General features: G+C 45.3%; 1 long non-coding RNA gene and 1 other non-coding gene across 2 annotated transcripts in view; both read left to right on the top strand.

Annotated features, from left to right (window-relative positions):
• Window positions 1–2,652, top strand: part of IKBKB-DT (IKBKB divergent transcript) — a 37,577-nt gene extending 34,925 nt beyond the window's left edge. The window contains exon 4 of the long non-coding RNA NR_185845.2: window positions 2,467–2,652. This is a non-coding gene — a long non-coding RNA (IKBKB divergent transcript). The remainder of the gene's footprint in view (window positions 1–2,466) is intronic.
• Window positions 2,653–10,591: 7,939 nt separating this feature from the next.
• On the top strand, window positions 10,592–10,693 carry LOC124902095 (small nucleolar RNA U13). The gene has a single exon (XR_007061223.1). It is a non-coding gene; the product is annotated as a small nucleolar RNA U13 (small nucleolar RNA).
• The last annotated feature ends 8,554 nt before the right edge of the window (window positions 10,694–19,247 follow it).

Here is a 19,247-nt window from a genome sequence, read left to right as displayed (position 1 = left end):
TAGGAAGCATGGCTGAAAAAGAAGTAGCCAGGCACAGTGGCTCACACCTGGAATCCCAGCATTTTGGGAGGTCAAGGTGGGTGGATTGCTGGAGGCCAGGAGTTCAAGACCAGCCTGTGCAACATGGCAAGACCCCATCTCTAAATATTAAAAAAAAAAAAGAGAGAAGTGATGCTTAATCTTTTAAAAGTTTCCTTTGTATGGATATATGTTATTAATATGAATGTTCCATGACATGTCCTTGTATAATGTTATCAGTCATAATTCTAGTTTTTTGTTTTTTGTTGTTGTTGTTTTTTGAGATGGAGTCTCACTCTGTCACCAGGCTGGAGGGCAGTTGTGTGATCTCAGCTGACTGCAACCTCCGCCCCCCAACCCCCACCCGGTTCAAGCAATCCTCCTGCCTCAACAGGTGCCCGCCACCATGCCTAGCTAATTTTTGTATTTTTAGTGGAGATGGGGTCTAACCATGTTGGCCAGGCTGAGCCAATTGGTTCTTACTGCCCACTGCACAAACAAAATCAACTCACTCAGACCATGGCATTGCAGTAAAGACGGTTTAATTGACATGACGCTGGCCATGCCACGTGGGAGATGAAGTTATTACTCAAATCAATCTCCCCAGAGGCTTGGAGGTTAGGAGGTTTTCAAAGATAGTTTCGTGGGCAGGCCGGTAAAGTAGGGGGAATGCTGATTGATTGGGTTGGAGATGAAATCACGGGAAATCGAAGCTGTCCTCTTATGCTGTGTCAGTTCCTGGGTGGGGCCATCTGGTTGTTAGAAATGCAAAAACTTGAAAAGCCATCTCAAAAGGACAATCAGGCCATGTGCGGTGGCTCATGCCTGTAATCTCAGCAATATGGGAGACCAAGGTGGGCAGATCACTTGAGGCCAGGAGTTTGAGACCACCTGGTCAACATAGAGAAACCCTGACTCTAGTAAAAATACAAAAAATTAGCTGGGCGTGGTGGTGTACACCTGTAATCCCAGCTACTTGGGAGGCTGAGGCACGAGAATCACTTGAACCTGGAAAGCAGAGGTTGCTGTGAGCTGAGATTGTGCCACTGCACTCCAGCGTGGGTGACAGAGGGAGACTCTGTCTCAAAAAAAAAAAAAAAAAGAAAATAAAAGAAAAGAAAAAAGAAAAATCCACAGTAAAAAGAGTTAGAAAAAAAAAAGAAAAAAAATTGACATCAAAAGGCCAATGTTAGGTTCTAGAGTAGTGATGTTATCTTCACAAGTAATTGGAGAAGTTGCAAATCTTATGACCTCTGGAATAATGGCAGGTAATTATTTAGAATTTGAACCATTTTCTTTCTCTTAACTTGGTGGCCTTTCATTAGTTTTATAACAGTTTAATTTTGGGGAAGGACTATTATCATTTAAACTATAAAATAGGCCAGCGCAGTTGCTCACGCCTGTAATCCCAGCACTTTGGGAGGCCAAGGCGGGCAGATCACCTGAGGTCAGGAGTTCGAGACCAGCCTCACCAACATGGTGAAATGCCATCTCTATTGAAAGTACAAAAATTAGTCAGGCGTGATGGTGGACACCTGTAATCTCAGGTACTTGGGAGGCTGAGGCACGAAAATTGCTTGAACTTGGGAGGTGGAGGTTGCAGTGAGCCAAGATTGCACCACTGCACTCCAGCCTGGGTGACAGAGTGAGACTCCATCTCAAAATATAAAATAAAATAGAATAAAATAAAATAAATAAAGTATAAAATAAATTTCTCCCAAAGTTAGCTTGGTCCATGCCCAGACAGCCAACCTGTGAGGCTACAGGCAAATGCAGTCAGACACATCAGATTTATCTTCCTGTCTTAATTTTGCAAAGGTGATTTCATTATTGTCTTAAAATGTTGTGTATCACAGAAATAATCACATTTTCTTGTCAATTACATTATAATGAACTCTCATAAAATCTTTTATCATGACCATTTTAAGAATTTTGTCATCCACAGTTAATTGTTTTATTTTTGTTACAGTGGGAAGCTCGTCAGGCAGGAACAGGGCAGGAGAGGGCCTCATGCCTCACCAGGAAAGTCAGGCGAACATCAGGTGATGGTCATGAAACTGCCTTTGCAAAAGGCACTGAGACAGTGAAAGAGGTCTAACTTAACTGACTCCATCTTGCTTCTAACCTCCAAGCTGTCCTTGTTCATTCCTGGGCGTAGGTTGAACTAACTTTGGGAGAAACTCAGTTTATGGTTTAAAACAAAGACGATAGCAGCCCTTTCCCAAAGCAGACCTCCTTCTTGCCTGGGAACTACATTGCCTTTGTAGGACTGACATTAGCCACAAGATTAGAAATTATGGTTTAGGAGTCATGCAGCTGGAGGCTACAAGATTCTGACCCTCCCTAAATGGCTCCTAAGATCAGTGCTTGAGATATTTTGCAGACCCTGCACTTGATGGATCAGCTGGCACCACCCAGATCAATAAACTGACTCATCTTATCTTGCAGCCCCCACCTAGGAACTGACTCAGAGCAAGAAGACAGCTCCGACTCCCTGTGATTTCATCCCTGACCAATCAGCTCTTCTAGCTCACTGGCTTCCCCCAACCCACGAAGTTGTCCTTAAAAACTCTGCTCCCGACTGCTGGGAGAGACTGATTTGAGTAATAATAAAACTGGTCTCCTGCACAGCCAGCTCTGCATTAATTAGTCTTTATTGCAATTCCCCTGTCTTGATGAATTGGCTCTTTCTAGGAGGCGAGCAAGGTGAACCCCTTGGGTAGTTACAGTCAGGCAGCTGTCACACTGCCTCTCTAAAATAACAACTGGTCCTAACCACTGCCAGGGAAAGGCAGTCTCCCTATAGATAAAAAAAACCCCTGAAACTGGTGATCAGCATCTTCCTGATAAGATCTCAGGAGTTGGGCAAGTGAGCTCAAGCATGCACATTAAGAGGCAAAATGGCGGAGTTTAACTGGTATATGACCTTTCTGGGGTATTCCACCAGAAAAGGAATGCAAGATGCTGGAAGTAAGCCGACATATAAAGCCCCAAGTCAAAAGGTCAAACCTGGCTGGGCACAGTGGCTCACACCTATAATCCTAGCACTTTGGGAGGCCGAGGCAGGCAGATCACTTGAGGTCAGAAGCTTGAGACCAGCCTGGCCAACTTGGTGAAATCTTGTCTCTACTAAAAATACAAAATTAGCCGTGCTTGGTGGTGTACACCTGTAATCCCCGCTACTCACTTAGGAGGCTTAGGCAGGAGAATCGCTTGAACCCAGGAGGCAGAGGCTGCAGTGAGCCGAGATCAAGCCATTGCACTCCACCCTGGTCAACAAGAGTGAAAACTCCATCTTATATAAAAAATAAAAAGATAAAAAGGTCAGACCCCCTGCTGGACCTCCAAGATGTCCACCTGGCTCTCTTCCAAGTGTACTTTACTTTCTTTTCATTACTGCTCTAAAGCTTTTTAATAAACGTTCACTCCTGCTCTGAAACTTGCCTTGGTCTCTTCTTCTGCCTTATGCCCCTCAGTCAAATTCTTTCTTCTGAGGAGGCAAGAACTGAGGTTGCTGCAGACGGGCATGGATTTGCCGCCACTAACACTCTGATCCTTTCCTGAAAGCTTTTGTAAGCAACTATAACCTGAAAGAGCTTTGTCTCCAAGGAAATGCATGATGACAACTCTGACAAGTATAAGTTTCTGATATAATAACTTTAAGATCATCTTACTGGATTGGGTAGGAATTTCCAGAATTCTAATAATGAAACTGAACTAAGATCAAGCAGAACAAGAATTAATTACCTGGGACTAAATAAACTGAGGAGGCTGATTATAATTTTTATGACTCCTTGTTTGAACACTGCTTTTTTTAAATGTTTTGTTTTTGCTGATTTAAGGAAACGTTTTTTCTCTTTTTCTTAAGCTAACTATAATTTACAGCAATCTGGTAAATTATACGTTTGTAAACAGAATTGAAGTATTTATTTTTTTCTCCCTACCTGTTCCATCTGGAATTCAGAACTTTTACGAAGCATTCTTATTTTCATGGCAATGTAGTTTTTTGCATAGGTTCAATGAGAATCTGTTCTCTGTATGACAGAACTCAACTGGAAACATTGGTGATATTACCAATTATTTCACTGAGCCATACATGAGAAGAACATGCACAGAATCAGATATGACCTGACTGTTTTTGGGAACTAAGGAGGACTTTAAGGAACCAATAAAGCCTTTTGGAAGAATTGACTTGGTACCTGGCTCAAAAAGCCACCTGGCCTTATGGTGTCAACCTAAAAGCAAGAAGCTGAGGCAAAGTTAGTACAAGTAAAATGTTTCTTTGAGTCACGCTTGAGGATTGCAACCCAGGAACACAGATTCAAGTTGCCCTAAATATATACCCTGCTTAGCGGCAATTACAAGTGGATTTTTGTGGGAGGCAAGAGGCAGTTTCTGAGTTGTTTACCAAGAATTTATATTAAAACAACATCAGTTATTGATTGGCTATACATCGTTAAGCTGAGAGTGTGGGTTATAGTGTCTGTTATAGCATTGTTGTGTTAATTTATAGCTACCTGTGGTAATAGCAAACAGGTTCAAGAGATGAACACATAGCTCAACAGCGGGGAGTAGAATGTGTAGAATGTGATTGCTGTCAGCACACTGATCATAAGGACCCCTCATTCTCCAAAAGCTAAAGGGCCTTAGCAGCAAGCACACAATAAGGCATACCACATCTTGTTTGACCATGTCACCCCGGAATCAGCAGTGATTTTTAAAAATCAAATGATACATGAGGGTTTGACTAAGCTATCCTCAGAATGGTTAATTTCATCCTAAGCTATCCTCAGAATGGTAAATTTCATCCTGGCAACTGAATTCATACCATTGACTTAAACCAGTACTTCCCAGTGTACAGTATGTTTACAATTTAAAAAGTGGCTGGATGCAGTGGCTCACACCTGAGATTTACTCATTTTTTAGGTATCTCCCATATACACATGAGGCACACAAGTAATTAAATATCTGCTTCTTTTTCTCTTGTTAATCTGTCTTTTGTTACATGGGTCTGTCCTGTCCACCTAAAAGGAAGGGGTTGAGACACAAAATATAATTTAGAGTCTACTTGAGCCAACGTGAGGACAACTGCCTGGAAGACTAAGACCCAAGCCACCTCGAATAGGCGCTCCATTTGGTCTTGGCTACAAGTGGGTTTTTAAAGGCAATAAAAGGGGAATACAAAGTTCCTTGTCCAGAATTCTCATTGTTTACAGAAATAGCACTGATTTGTGATTGGCTGTATATTGTTATAAGGTATAGGGTATGTGTCATAGTGTGCAGTGCACCATTCTTAGGTTAATTCATAGCTACTTGTGGCACTAGCAAGTAGTTTCAGTAGATGAACACATAGCTCAATGGGGAGCAGGACATGATTGCTGGCTCATTTTTATGCCTCTCTGGGGCTGAATAATTTCTTTTTTTTTTTTTCCTGAGACAAAGTCTCGCCCTGTTGCCCAAGCTGGAGTGCAGTGGTGCAATCTGAGCTCCCTGCAACCTCTGCCTCCTGGGTTCAAGCAATTCTCATGCCTCAGCCTCCAGAGTAGCTGGGATTACAGGCACCCGCCACCACGCTCAGGTAATTTTTGGTATTTTTAGTAGAGGTAGAGTTTTGCCATGTTGGCCATGCTGGTCTTGAACTCCTGGGCTCAAGTGATTCGCCTGCCTAGGCCTCCCAAAGTGCTGGAATTACAGGCCTGAGCCACCACGCCCAGCCTGGGGATGCTAATTTAAAAGGCTCACACACATCACATAAAAGTTCTTTTCTCAGTTCCAGTTAAGAACTGTGAAAAATAGAAAATGATCTTTCCTCCTCTACATAAACATTACTGTTTTACTGGTAGGTCTAAATTAAGTATTTACAGCTCTCTAATTGTACGGAATCATTATAATAGAATGTAGGAAATTTTATATCAATTAATTAATTAAGACAGTGTCTTGCTCTGTCACCCAGGCTGGAGTGCAGTGGCACAATCATAGCTCACTGCAGTCTCGATTCACCCAGACTCAAGCGATCCTCCTGCCTCAGCCTTCTGAGTAGCTGGGACTACAGGTGTGTGTCACTAAACCCAGCTAATTTTTTTTTAATTTGTAGTAGAGATGAAGTCTCACTATGTTGCCCAGGCTGGTCTCCAACTCTTGAGCTCAAACAATCTTCCTGCCTCAGCCTCCCAAAGTACTGGGACCACAGGTGTGCCCCAACGTGCTTGGCCAAGGATCCTTCTTCTTGGCACTGGCCTACTGTTCAAAACAATTTCTAGGCTGAAATATAGACAGCTAGTATCTGGGTCTTTCTTCAAGATCATGCAACCCAAAATTGCCCTTCATTCTCTTGAATAAAACCTCATGACAATGAATTCATGACTAATAGGTCTATAGTCATGCATAACTGGTTTCATCTGTTGGATATCTTTTGTTTTGTTTTATTTTAATGTAACCTTAGCAGACAAACAGAAAAGTGCACAAATCCTACGGATACATCTTGCCGTCACGCAGGTCACATGGTATCTTATTAAATATGAGGGATGCTGCAATCCTGATATGGCCATGGAAACCGAAAAATAGGCTCACAGCTTGCCATGTGCAATCTGTAAATGCTGTTTACTTAATGTTTGTGAGTGGTCGGGTGCGGTGGCTCACGCCTGTAATTCCAGCATTTTGGGAGGCTGAGACCACTGCACTCCAGCCTGGGCGACAGAGTAAGAGTCCATCTCAAAAAAAAACAAAAAAAGTATAAAGTAGAAATAAATATAAAATTAAATTAATCTAATTAATTTACTGCAAATCCTCCCACCTCCCTGAATTACTAACCCTATTACTTTTATTATCTTGTTAAGCCTCTAAAGGAAGATTAGTATCTACAACAGCAATAACTATTATACTATATCAGAAGGTTAACTGTTAAGTATAAACAATGTTTAAATTACTAATGGGTCTTATAATACTTGTAAATTGGATTTACATGTATGTAAATTACCTGATTTTCTGCTTTAATAAAGACACAGGCTGGGCATAGAGGCTCACACCTGTAATCCCAGCACTTTGGGAGGCCGAGGTGGGTGGATCACTTGAGGTCAGGAGTTTGAGACCATCCTGGCCAACATGATGAAACCCTGTCTCCACTGAAAATACAAAAATTAGCCAGGCGTGGTGGCGGGTGCCTGTAGTCCCAGCTACTCGAGAGGCTGAGGCGGAGAATCACTTGAACCCCAGAGACGTAGGTTGTAGTGAGCCAAGATCACACCACTGCACTCCAGCTTGGGCAACGGAGTGAGATTCTGTCTCAAAAAAATAATAATAATACGGACACAGGACACAAAAGCTTCCCGAATTAATTTAGCTTATATGAGAGCCAGGCAATGGAAACCCACAGATGGGCTTTTATAGGCCAAGATGCATGGAGGTTGGGCCTGGCTTCACTGTTAGTTGTCAGCAGAACTATGCATGGGAGCATCAGCATTACTGATCATAAAGACCCCTCGTTCACCGAAAGCTAAAGGGCCCTGGCAGCAAGCACACCATAAGGCAGCTTACCATATCTTGTTCAACTGTGTCACCCGGGAATCAGCAGTGATTTTTAAAAATCAAGTGATACATGAGGGTTTGACTAAGCTATCCTTAGAATGGTAAATTTCATCCTAGCATAGCAACTGAATTCATACCATTGACTTAAACCAGTACTCCCCAATGTACAGTATGTTTAAGATTTAAAAAGTGCAGTTAAGTTTCAACTAAATCATGGATAGCTCCAGCTGAAGTATAAATGAAGCTAAAATTATTTCTCCATTTTTGAAGGCAGAGGTTTCCAACACATAAAAGTTGAAAGAATGGTACAATGAAAATCTACATACCTTCCACCCAGATTAAACAATTGCTGACATATTATCATATTTGTGCATTCTTTCTCTCTCAATCTGTCTGTTAGGTAGACAGATGAGAGATAGATAGATAGAGAGACAGATAGATAAATAGAAAATTTATGTTTATATTTTGCTATGTCATTTGAAAATAAGCTGTAGACATTATTATGAATGACAGGTCATCCCTATATATTACAGTGTGAATCTTCTCTTTTTTTTTTTTTTCGAGATGGAGTCTCACTCTGTGGCCCAGGCTGGAGTGCAGAGGCATGATCTCAGCTCACAACCTACACCTCCTGGGTTCAAGCGATGCTCCTGCCTCAGCTTCCCAAAAAGTTGGAACTATAGGCACCACCACCTTGCCCGGCTTTTTTTTTTTTTGAGACAGAGTTTCGTTCTCATCACCCAGGCTAGAGTGCAGTGGAGCAATCTCGGCTCACTGCAACCTCCACCTCCCGAGTTCAAGCGATTCTTCTGTCTCAGCCTCCCAAGTAGCTGGGATTACAGGCACCAGCCACCACCCCCAGCTAATTTTTGTATTTTTAGTAGAGACGGGGTTTCACCATGTTGGCCAGGCTGCTCTCAAACCCCTGACCTCAGGTGATCCGCCCAACTTGGCCTCTCAAAGTGCTGGGATTACAGGTGTGAGCCACTGTGCCCAGCCTCCAGTGTTAATCTAAGAATAATCTCCTATGTAAGTATAGTACTATTATCAGACCTATAAGAATGAATCATAATTCCATAAGATCATCTATCTACAAACAGTATTCCAATTTCTGAAATGATCCCAGGAATGTCTTTCGTAGCTTTCATTGCTTGCAAGTGCTAGCTGTGTGTTCTTCCATCATCCCTTTCAGCCTAGCCCTGAAACACCCAGCCCCTTTTATTCCCCCCAATAACTTTAATTTTTTTTCTTTTTTTTTAGAGACAGGATCTTGCTCTGCCACCCAGGCTGGAGTACAGTGGTGTGGTCACAGCTCACTGTACCTTGAATTCCCAGGCTAAAGCGATCCTCCCACTTCAGCCTCCTGAGTAGCTGGGACCACAGGCACATGCCACCGTGCCCTAGCCATTTAATTTTTAAACATTTTTTTTTGTAGAGAAAGGGTCTTACTATGTTGCCCAGGCTGGTTTTGAACTCCCGGCTTCAAGTGACCCTCCTGCCTTGGCCTCCCAAAGTGCTGGGGTTACAGGTTTGTGCCACTGCATCACCTGTAGGCTGACCTTGAATTTGTGGTAAGTCTGGGACAGTCATCTTGTGCAATGTTACACAGGTTGAAGTTGCCTAGATCTGTGTAATTGATCTCTTGATGCCTTTTTAAACTTTTTCTCTATCCCCTCTACTTCCAGGGACCTGGAAGTTACATTTGCCACCTTGAATAGACTCAGATTAAACATTTTGGACACTAAAGAGTTCATGGATGATAGGGTGTACTTTTTGCATCACATTAGGAGGCACATTGGGTGAGGCTGTTCCACTATCTGTGAGGCTAATTTTGATTGCCTTATTAAAGTGGTGACTGCCAGATCTCTCCATATAAAGGCACATTTTCTCTTTGCAATTCACAATGAATCTGTGCATAATTCTTTAGTGCCATGAAAATACTCTGTTTACCATAACCTTTCACTTGATGGTTTTAGTATCTGTTGATAATTCTTGACTAAATAAATTATTACATTTAGGTTTGTAAATAGGTGATATTACAAAAATGACTTTAATATTGGAGAATACATAAATCGAGACCCTGACAAGAACTAAGGTATCTCACCATGCTTTGTCCTAAATACAAAGAATTTTTTTTACCAGAGAACTGCAAGTAATGGCTTAACATTAAATGTGTGGTGCTTATATCTGTCTGAGAACCTCTTCTAGAAATGATATTCTTCTATAACCTCAGCTTATTTACCCACCATATCAGCAAAGCCTTGGTTGGATAGAAGAGTCAGTACAAGTGTAGTTATAAAACTGTTAGGAAGGCCAGGTGCAGTGGCTCACACCTGTAATCCCAGCCCTTTGAGAGGCCAAGGTGGGTGGATCATGAGGTCAGGAGTTCGAGACCAGCCTGACCAACATGGTGAAACCCCGTCTCTAGTAAAAATACAAAAATTACCCTGGCGTGGTGGCGTGTGCCTGTAATCCCAGCTACTTGGAAGGCTGAGGCAGGAAAATTGCTTGAACCCGGGAGGCGGAGGTTGCAGTGAGCAGAGATTGCACCACTGCACTCCAGTATAATTGACACAGCGAGACTCCATCTCACAAAAGAAAAAAAAAACTGTTAGGAGAAGCGCAGACTTTGAATTTAAAATCAACAGGCTACATTCACTTGCTTAGACTACAATGTTTATGAAGGTCTCCATGGTTAAATAGTCCAAAGGAGAATTTGACAATTAATAAAACAGTCCATAGAATGCTCACACACCACCCCTCTCTCTCCTCAATGAAAAATCTGTAATTCATAATATGATGCATTTTATTGGAACTTCTAAAGGAGATGAGTCAGAACATGGTAAGAATGCTAAAAGGTTTGGATGATCGAATTATAGCTCAGTCCAAGAAACTAATTTACTAGGGGTAGTTTTGGGGACATCTGATTACTCTGAATTCACCCTAGTCCTTTCCCACGTCTAATTAAATTGTGTTTAACATTTCCCAAAATATTCATATTCAGTCATTGACATGAAAAACACTGGGAATCTGGAAGAAGTGCTATGTGATCCTTTCGTAGCTCATAAGCAGATAGTTGAGTTTTCACGCTCATGGATGGATGTGCCTCCCTCTAACATTATCAAGATGTCGGCACACTACCTGTGTGATGTAAATTTTTAAAAAGAAAAAAAAGAAAAAGTGCTGTATGAAAATAACAAAGTAGGCCGGGTGCGGTGACTCACACCTGTAATCTCAACACTTTAGGAGGCCGAGGTGGGTGGATCACCTGAGGTCAGGAGTTTGGGACCAGCCTGACCAATATGGTGAAACCCCGTCTCTACTAAAAATACAAAAATTAGCCGGGCATGGTGGCATGAGCCTGTAATACCAGCTACTTGGAAGGCTGAGGTAGGAGAATCGCTTGAACCCGGGAGGTGGAGGTTGCAGTAAGCCGAGATCGCGCCACTGTACTCTGGCCTGGGTGACAGAGCGAGACTCCGTCTCAAAAAAAAAAAAAAGAAAAGAAAAAAAAAGAAAATAACAAAGTAATAATAAAAGTTAGCAAAGACAAAAAGTTACATCGTTAGCATAAAAAATTAACCGGAACTATACGCCCAACTCTTATCAGTTTAAAATCCCATAACTGAATGAACAACTCATTAAAAGTTAACAGAATGAAGCCAACTATGTTGCAAAATAGTGAGAAGATTTATTAATAGTGGGAGAGGCCAACTTCACTTAGACATAGTTGTTTAAATGGAACTTGGGTTAAACTTTAAATACACTTTTACCAATAATAACCTTAGGATTATTTTAATAAAAAAAGGAGGTATAGCTATTTGGAAATAAGGAATATTATTTGTCGACGAAGAAAAACACCAAAATTCCCTAGCAGGCATAAGAGAAGTAATCAATTAAGTGGCTTAAGTCCTATAATCAACCAGCACTTTTTTTTTTTTTTTTGAGACGGAGTTTTGCTCTGTTGCCCAGGTTGAAGTGCAGTGATGCAATCTCCGCTCACTGTAACCTCTGCCTCCCAAGTTCAAGCAATTCTCCTGCCTCAGCCTCCCAAGTAGCTGGGTCTACAGGCATATGCCACCATGCCTGGCTAATTTTTGTATTTTTAGTAGAGATGGGGTTTCACTATCTTGACCAGGCTGGTCTTGAACTCCTGACTTCAAGTGATCCGCCCACCTCAGCCTCCCAAAAAATTACAGGCGTGAGCTACTGCGCCCAGCCTCAACCAGCACTCTTAACAGCCCATTGAAGCATTCCCCAACCTTTTTGGCACCCGGGACTGGTTATGTAGAAGACAATTTTTCTGTGGACCAGGGTTGTGGGGCATGGTTTCGGGAAGATATAAGAGGATTACATTTATTGTGCACTTTATTTATATTATTATTACATTGTAATATATGATGAAATAATGGTACGACTCAGCATAATGCAGAATCAGTGGGAGCCCTGTGCTTGTTTTCCTGCAACTAGACAGTCCCATCTGGGGGTGATGGGAGACAGTGACAGATCATCAGGCATTAGATTCTGATAAGGAGCACACACACAACCTAGATCCCTCGCATGCGCAGTTCACAATAGGGCTCACACTCCTGTGGGAATCTAATGCTGCTGCTGATCCGACAGGAGGCAGAGCTCAGGCTGTAATGCTAGCTGGCCTGCCACTCACCTCCTACTGTGTGGCCCGGTTCCTAACAGGCCATGGACCAGTACCAGTCCGTGGCCCAGGGGTTGGGGATTCCTGTGCCATTGGATTTGTCTATAATTTCTAGAAGAAATAATATTGTATAAGTTAGAAATAAGAAAATCAGATTTGTTAGCACACCTTCATTTAAAGAAGTAGGATAGAAGTAGGCTGCAAGGGTGAGATGGGGACCAGATCGGGGAGGCCTTGAGTTCTAGAGTCTGCACATTCTCCCACAGGTAGCAGAGTGTCAGTGAAGGTTGTGGAACGAGGTGGCAATGAGTAGAACACGTGGTGGGGATGACTAGGGGCCCCTCTCTGAGATATAACATCTAATATGAGTTGGACACTGCAGGCCCAGCCAACATGCTTCCTTCAGTCCTCAGAGCCGGTCTGCAAAGTGAATATTGTCCCTGTCTGAACAGGCTCAGAGAGCATGTGTCTTGCTGAAGGCCACGCTACTGGTAAATTGTGGAACTAAGATTCAAAACAGGTGTCTGACATGGGAGCCGACATTCTGCCTTCCACCCCAGGCAGTGGCCATGAAGAAGCAGCTGCTGCAGCCAGAAATGTAGAAACCCTGCCTGCCATGGCAAGGGAGGGCGCTGGCCTGGCACATGGGTTTCTCCTGTCTTTCTGGGGACACTGGCACAACCAGGGCATCCTCTGGGCTTACGCGTCCCTCTCCCCTCCCCATCCCTGCTACTATGTGTGTGACCTTGGAAAAACCACCTTATCTTCTGTTTAAATGGTTAAAGACTTGGCAAAGGAATGAATTAACAGGGCACAGGATGTACACACCCTATGTAGAGTGGCAATTTCAGAGACGAGGTGTTTGGCTGTCACCCTCAAATGTGTCATTTCAACATTTTTCTACTCTCACTTCCTTCTTTCCTACTTAAAACCATCATTGTTGCCAAAAGCAGGGATGGGGCAGGTACACTCAAGGGGAAGAATTTGGAAGAGGAAATTTGTAGGGGCTCATGATGTTTCCTGACCTCAGAATGTAACTTGATTCTGAATATATAAAGAATATCACTTTAGAAGTTATCAAAGGAATGGAATTGGGGTTAATGATTGTTTCTGGGTACAAGCGCAAAGTCATGTCCCCAGTGTTTCTCAGATCTTAACATGCATATGAATCACTGGAGGATCTTTTTGTAATAAAGCTTCTAGTTCAGCAGGTCTGGGGTGGAGCCCGGGAGTCTGCATTTCTCACAAGCCCCCAGTTGCTGCTGGTCCCGAGTCCACACTTTGAGTTGCAAGGAACCAGATTTCTTTGCTTTTTTTTTTTTTTTAAAATATATATATAGAGTCTCAGTCTGTTACCCACGCTGGAGTGCAGTGGTGCAATCTCGGCTTACTGCAACATCCACCTTCTGGGCTCAAGTGATTCTCCTGCCTCAGCCTCCTGATAGCTGGGATTACAGGCACCTGCCACTATGCCTGGCTAATTTTGTATTTTTAGTAAAGACAGGGTTTCGCCATATTGGCCAGGCTGGTCTCACACTCCTCACCTCAGGTGATCCACCTACTTCGGCCTCCCAAAGTGCCTGGATTACAGGTATGAGCCACCGCACTTGGCTTAGCCAGACTTCTTTGAGGACAAATCTCTGTAAAATGGTGGCAGGTCTTGCTTGGTGTGGAGTAAATGTGAAGGAGTAAATAAAAGGCATTTGTACAAATGATGCACTTCAGTATTAATTGTTTAACTCAGCAGATATTTGGTGAGGATTCCCCAAATGCCTGACACATATGACAGAGGAAAAGAGACCTATTCTTGCAAACTGCTCCAACTTTCAGAGGGTGGAACGAAAAGAACCAAAATATTCTGCAACTAAGCAACCAAGTAAACTGGGTGCAGAGAGGAGATGAGCTGGGGCTGATGCCTCAGCAGGAATCTCTGGAATTCCTCTCGCCTGGTGACCTCAGTCACAGAGCAGCGGAGCCACGACCCCTTGGGTGGGCTCCAGGTGGGTCTCAGCCAGGATGAAGAGAGCGGAGCAGACAAACACTCCACTCCCTTCTCCCCAAGGGAGCCAGGCTTTTGCATCCCCAGGCAGCTTCCCGGGGTGAGTGGCCAACGCCTTGAGGTCCCCACCCTGTACCACCCCAGGTTCCAGGGTCCAACTCTGGGAAATCGTGGCATTCTCTGAACCCTTCCTGCTAGTGGGGTGAGGAGGGGGGTGGTTTCTGGCGATAGGGCAAGGGAGGAAAATCATCCTGGGTCTCACGCTCCGTTAGAGGCTGCACTGTGGAGAGAGCAGGGGTCCAGCTCCTGGAGGATCCGGGTTGGATGGGACTCTGCCACTTAGGGGAAGCAGTGAACATTGAGCTAGTGTTGCTGTCGCAAAATGGGATGTGTAACACCCACCTCATCGAATTTCGTGAGAATGAATGAGATCATTAATCATTTATGCAAACTATCTGGAACAGTGATGAAACCCAGAGGCTCCTTTAGTTCCTATTCTCCCTGCCCTGAGGATAAGGACCAAAGCCCTTAGCATGGCTCACAGTGCCTCTCGGAGCTGGCCCCGCCTCCCTGTCTAGCTTCATCTCTGGCTCTCACCTCCCTCGTCTCCAGCCACACTGATGGGCTGAGACTGCCAAGGCCCCAATGGTGCCATGCTTCAGGGCTTGGGCTCCCACCTATGCCTCTCTTTCCAGCAGTGCCCTTCGCCCCAGCTCGCTTGGCAAATGCCTACTTCCCTTATTCAGCTCTGCACAGCAATGCCTGTCCCACGAAGCCTGTCCCATTCCAACCCCCTGCTCAGAGAAAGCGACCAGTGCCTCCTTTGAGCTGTCCCATACCAGGTGCTTCTTCTGTCTTGTGTCTCCTCTCTAGTGTAAGGTGGCAAACAACAGCCTACGGACCAAATCCAAATCACCATCTGATTTTGTAAATAACTTTTTTTTTTTTTTTGAGACGGAGTCTCACTCTGTCACCCAGGCTGGAGTGCAGTGGTGCGATCTCAGCTAACTGTAACCTCTGCCTCCTGGGTTTAAGTGATTCTCCTGCTTCAGCCTCCTGCGTAGCTGGGATTACAGGCACGTGCCAACACTCCCGGCAAATTTTTGCATTTTTAGTAGAGATGGGGTTTCACCATGTTGGCCAGGCTGGTCTCCAACTTCTGACCTCAAGTGATCCACCCACCTCAGCCTCCCAAAGAGCTGGGATTACAGGCGTGAGCCACTGCGTCTGGCCTAGAAATAACATTTTATTAGAACATAGCCACACTCATTGCATAGGGTCCCTGGCTGTTTTCACGTTGCAAGGGCACAACTGTATAGTTACAACAGAGACCACGCTGCCTGTAAAGCCTGCACTATTCACCACCCAGCCCTTCCCAGAAAAGTATTTCCAGCTGCCAGCTCTAGTACTTCCTTGTCTCCTCTCCCTAGACTTCTGAGACATTTGTTCTGAGGGCCAAGAACAAATGTCACTAGCTTCTGCAGCATGCTGCCTGGCCTAGCAGAACCCAGCACTGAGGAGGAGAAGGCTGAGCACGTAATCACATGCGTGTGTTTTCTTCTTTGTCTTTCTCATTCCTAGGGGAGTGAGGGCCCCTCCTGTGGCTTGAATTAGAGGTATAGGGTCTGTTTGATGGAGTCAAGGCTTCCTGGATCCTAGTAAGTAGACCAGAGTGAAACTGTGATGTAAAGCAGCCTCTCTGGATCAGGAAAAGCTCCATCAGGAGAGGTTCCCTCCTGGCACAGTGCTCCTGAGGATGGCCCCCAGGATGCCGCAGAACCAGAGAGAAGACTCTGGGGACAGGAGAACAGCAGGGAAACCTGGCAGAAGTTCTGTTCGAGGAAGTGTTATACAGTCAGATTTTGTAAATGTCAGATCTTGACAAATGATCAAATCAGTTTCTCAGGAAGTGATGATGACATTAAATTGGTTGGGACTTTTTTTTTTTTTTTGTAGAGATGGGATCTACCTATGTTGCCCAGTCTGGCTTCAAACTCCTGAGTTTAAGCAATCCTCCTGCCTCACTCTCTCAAAGTGCTGGGATTACAGGAGTGAGCCACTGCGCCTCTCCCTACCCTTTTTCTTCAAGAGACATGGTCTTGCTCTGTCGCCCAGGCTGGAGTGCAGTGGAGCAATCATAGCTCAATGCAGCCTCAATCTTCCGGGCTCAAACAATCCTCCTACCTCAGCCTCCCGAGTAGCTGAGACTACAGGTGTGTGCCACCATGCCTGGCTAATTTTTAAATTTTTTTTTATAGAGATAGGATCTTGCTATGTTGCTCAAGCTGGTCTCAAACTCCTGGCTTCAAGCAATCCTCCCACCTTGGCCTCCCAAAGCACTGGGATTGTAGCCGGGAGTCACCACACCTGGCCTGTTTTTTAAAGTATAGTCAGGTCAAGGGAACCTGTGGTGATGAAATATTTGAAACCTTGACAACGGGAGTGCCAGTGGTCACTGTTGGTTCCAGCAAGAGGCAAGACCCCAGAAGCCTCCCCTGCATGCTGGATCATCTTGTAGGGGGCACAAGAGAGCCACACAGAATCACAGAGACATGCTTTTGCAAATGGCAGTCACTCTTGGGAACACAGCCTCTCCCAGGGACTTGAAACCACCAGGAAATAAGAATGCAGGTTCCTGGGTTCCCAAAATGTTCTCTGCAGTGGGCATGCCAATGCATACCAACAGGGGAGCTATGGTCCTTTGATGTCTTCTGTCACAATTGAGGAAGTTTGGACCATCCACTGAAACACGTTCTCCTTTCAGCTTGGGAGGGTAGGTGACTTAATACATTAATAAACACTTGAGTTTGACTTTTGTCCAACTCCTGGCCGCTGGATAGGAGCACTTCAGATGTATTTTTGTTTATTGCTTTACCTTGAATCATTTATAGGAATTCAGTAGTCAGGCACCACTTCTTGTTTAGGAGAGGCAGGAGTGCTTCAGGGAAATGGTGCCGTTCAGCCATTGGGTGCTTGCTCCCTGCGCTATTGAACCCCTATACCCCCAGTGCTTCCACTAGCACAGCTGGAGGACCCCAGGGCGACCTGAAGAACATCCCATGCAGCTGGGCTCCCAAGCGGAGCTGCAGAGGTAGCTGCATTCCTTCCCACCTTCTCTGCTCCCGATCCTCCTTTCTGGTCTGTGCACTTTACAAAGTTACTTATTAGGGAATAAAAATTTAATGTATGCTTGATTATAGTAATGTTGCACAAATTCTCCTTTTATCCTCTAAAAGCCCTTTGGGGTAGATAGTGTCAGGTGCATTCCCATTTTATTTACTTTTGCTTTATTTATTTATTTAAGAGACAGGGTCTTGCTCTCACCCAGGCTGGAGTGCAGTCACATGAACATGGCTCACTGCAGCCTCAACCTCCTGGACTCAAGCAAGCAATCCTCCCACCTCACCCTCAGCCTCTCAAGTCACTGTTAGCACAGCCACACGCCAACAAGCCAGGCTAATTTTTAAAAATGTTTTGTAGAGATGAGATCTCACTGTGTTGCTCAGGCTGGTCTCGAACTCCTAGGCTCAAGTGATCCCTCTGCTTCAGCCTCTCAAAGTGCTGGGGTCACAGGCAGAAGCCACTGTGTCCGGCTCACATTCCTATTTTACAGATGAGGAAACCCAGTCCAAGAAGCGAAGTGGCTTGCTCAGTGGCTCCCGGCAGATGGTCTCGGGTGTGGTTTGACCTCTGGATCGTGTTGATGCTAATGCAGAATGCCAGGGCCTTTGGGTAGTTGTGTTCCAGATGTGGGCTTGTTTCCCCACTGGCCTCCTCCAGCCTCATTCAGCTGGAAGGCAGCTTCCCCTCCTAGCCCTGTGGCACAGCCAGGACAGCTCTGCCCTTCGGGCCCCAAGGAACACAACCTCTTGCTGCTCTGACATCCTAATGGCTGAGCGCAGGCCAGGAGGCTGCCAACATCTGCAGGGACAACTTAAAGACTCTGGCCAGGGGATGCCTTTGGCATCTCTGGGGATGGAAAATGGGCCACCTGTCCCAGCCCCACAGGGTGGAGGCTGCTGTGAGGGCAAAGTGCCACTGCAGCTGCAGCTTCCCGGATCGGCGCCTGCCCTCTCGCCAGGAGGCTGCGGCCACTGAGACCAATGGTTCCTGTGCCCGGCCAGGGGCTCCTGACTGGGACATGGGCACGGAAGGCCCCGGAGCAGATGTGGGGCAGTTGTGGGACTCAGGAAGAGGTCTCTGTTCCCATTATGGGTGAGCAAGCAGGAGGAAACGCCATGCAAAGTCTCAGGAATGTTCTGCGGAGACAGGAGCCCCACTTGCCCCCTCTGCCTTGGGGACCCAGCCGCAGCATCTGCAGGGGCGGCGTGAGCTCCAGGAAGCCACAGGACATGCAACTGCCACCGCAATCCCTCCTGGCCAGCATGCTGTTGTCGGTGTTTCTCCTCTGGTGTGGGCCCTGCGGGTAGCGTGGCAGACAAAACATCAACAAACTCCGTCCTCACTTGAGCTGCCTCCTAGGAGGCTGACAGGTGGCCCAAAGGCATGGAGCGTCTCTGTGCATGGTGCCCTGGCTGGAGCCCAGATTCCATCGTGATTGGCCTTGTTGGTTTCCCTTATGTACCGATGAGCAAACCTGTGGCCACAGGCAAGTCACCTGACCTCCCTGGGCCTCGGTTTCCTGTTCTGTGCACTGAGTATGATACTGTCTCGGCAGGCTCTTGGGGAAGTCTCTTGCTTCTCCCTGTTCGATTCTCCTTCCTCTCTCCCTCTTCTCTTCAAATCCTTACCATCCTTGAGGTATTGTGGTGGTGGTATGATGACTTGGAGGGCCACGCCATGCAGAATCAGGAATCATTGTCACTTTCCTTGGTGACTCAGAATAACTTTCATTTCCCCACTGCTGCTTCCTTCTCTGCTCCATGTTAGAGTGGCCCCCCTGCTTATCTGTGGTTTCACTTGCCACAGGGTAACTACCTGTGGTATAGCACTCACTGCAGCCTCGACCTCCTGGGCTGCAGAGATCCTCTTATCTCAGCCTCCCAAGTAGCTGGACCACAGGAGCAAACCACCATGCCTGGCTAATTTTCT

The sequence above is a fragment of the Homo sapiens genome, chromosome 8 (genome assembly GCF_000001405.40).
Source record: "Homo sapiens chromosome 8, GRCh38.p14 Primary Assembly".
Classification (NCBI taxonomy): domain Eukaryota; kingdom Metazoa; phylum Chordata; class Mammalia; order Primates; family Hominidae; genus Homo; species Homo sapiens.
Note: the sequence above shows the minus strand (reverse complement) of the source record. Positions and strands in the feature narration are given on the sequence as shown.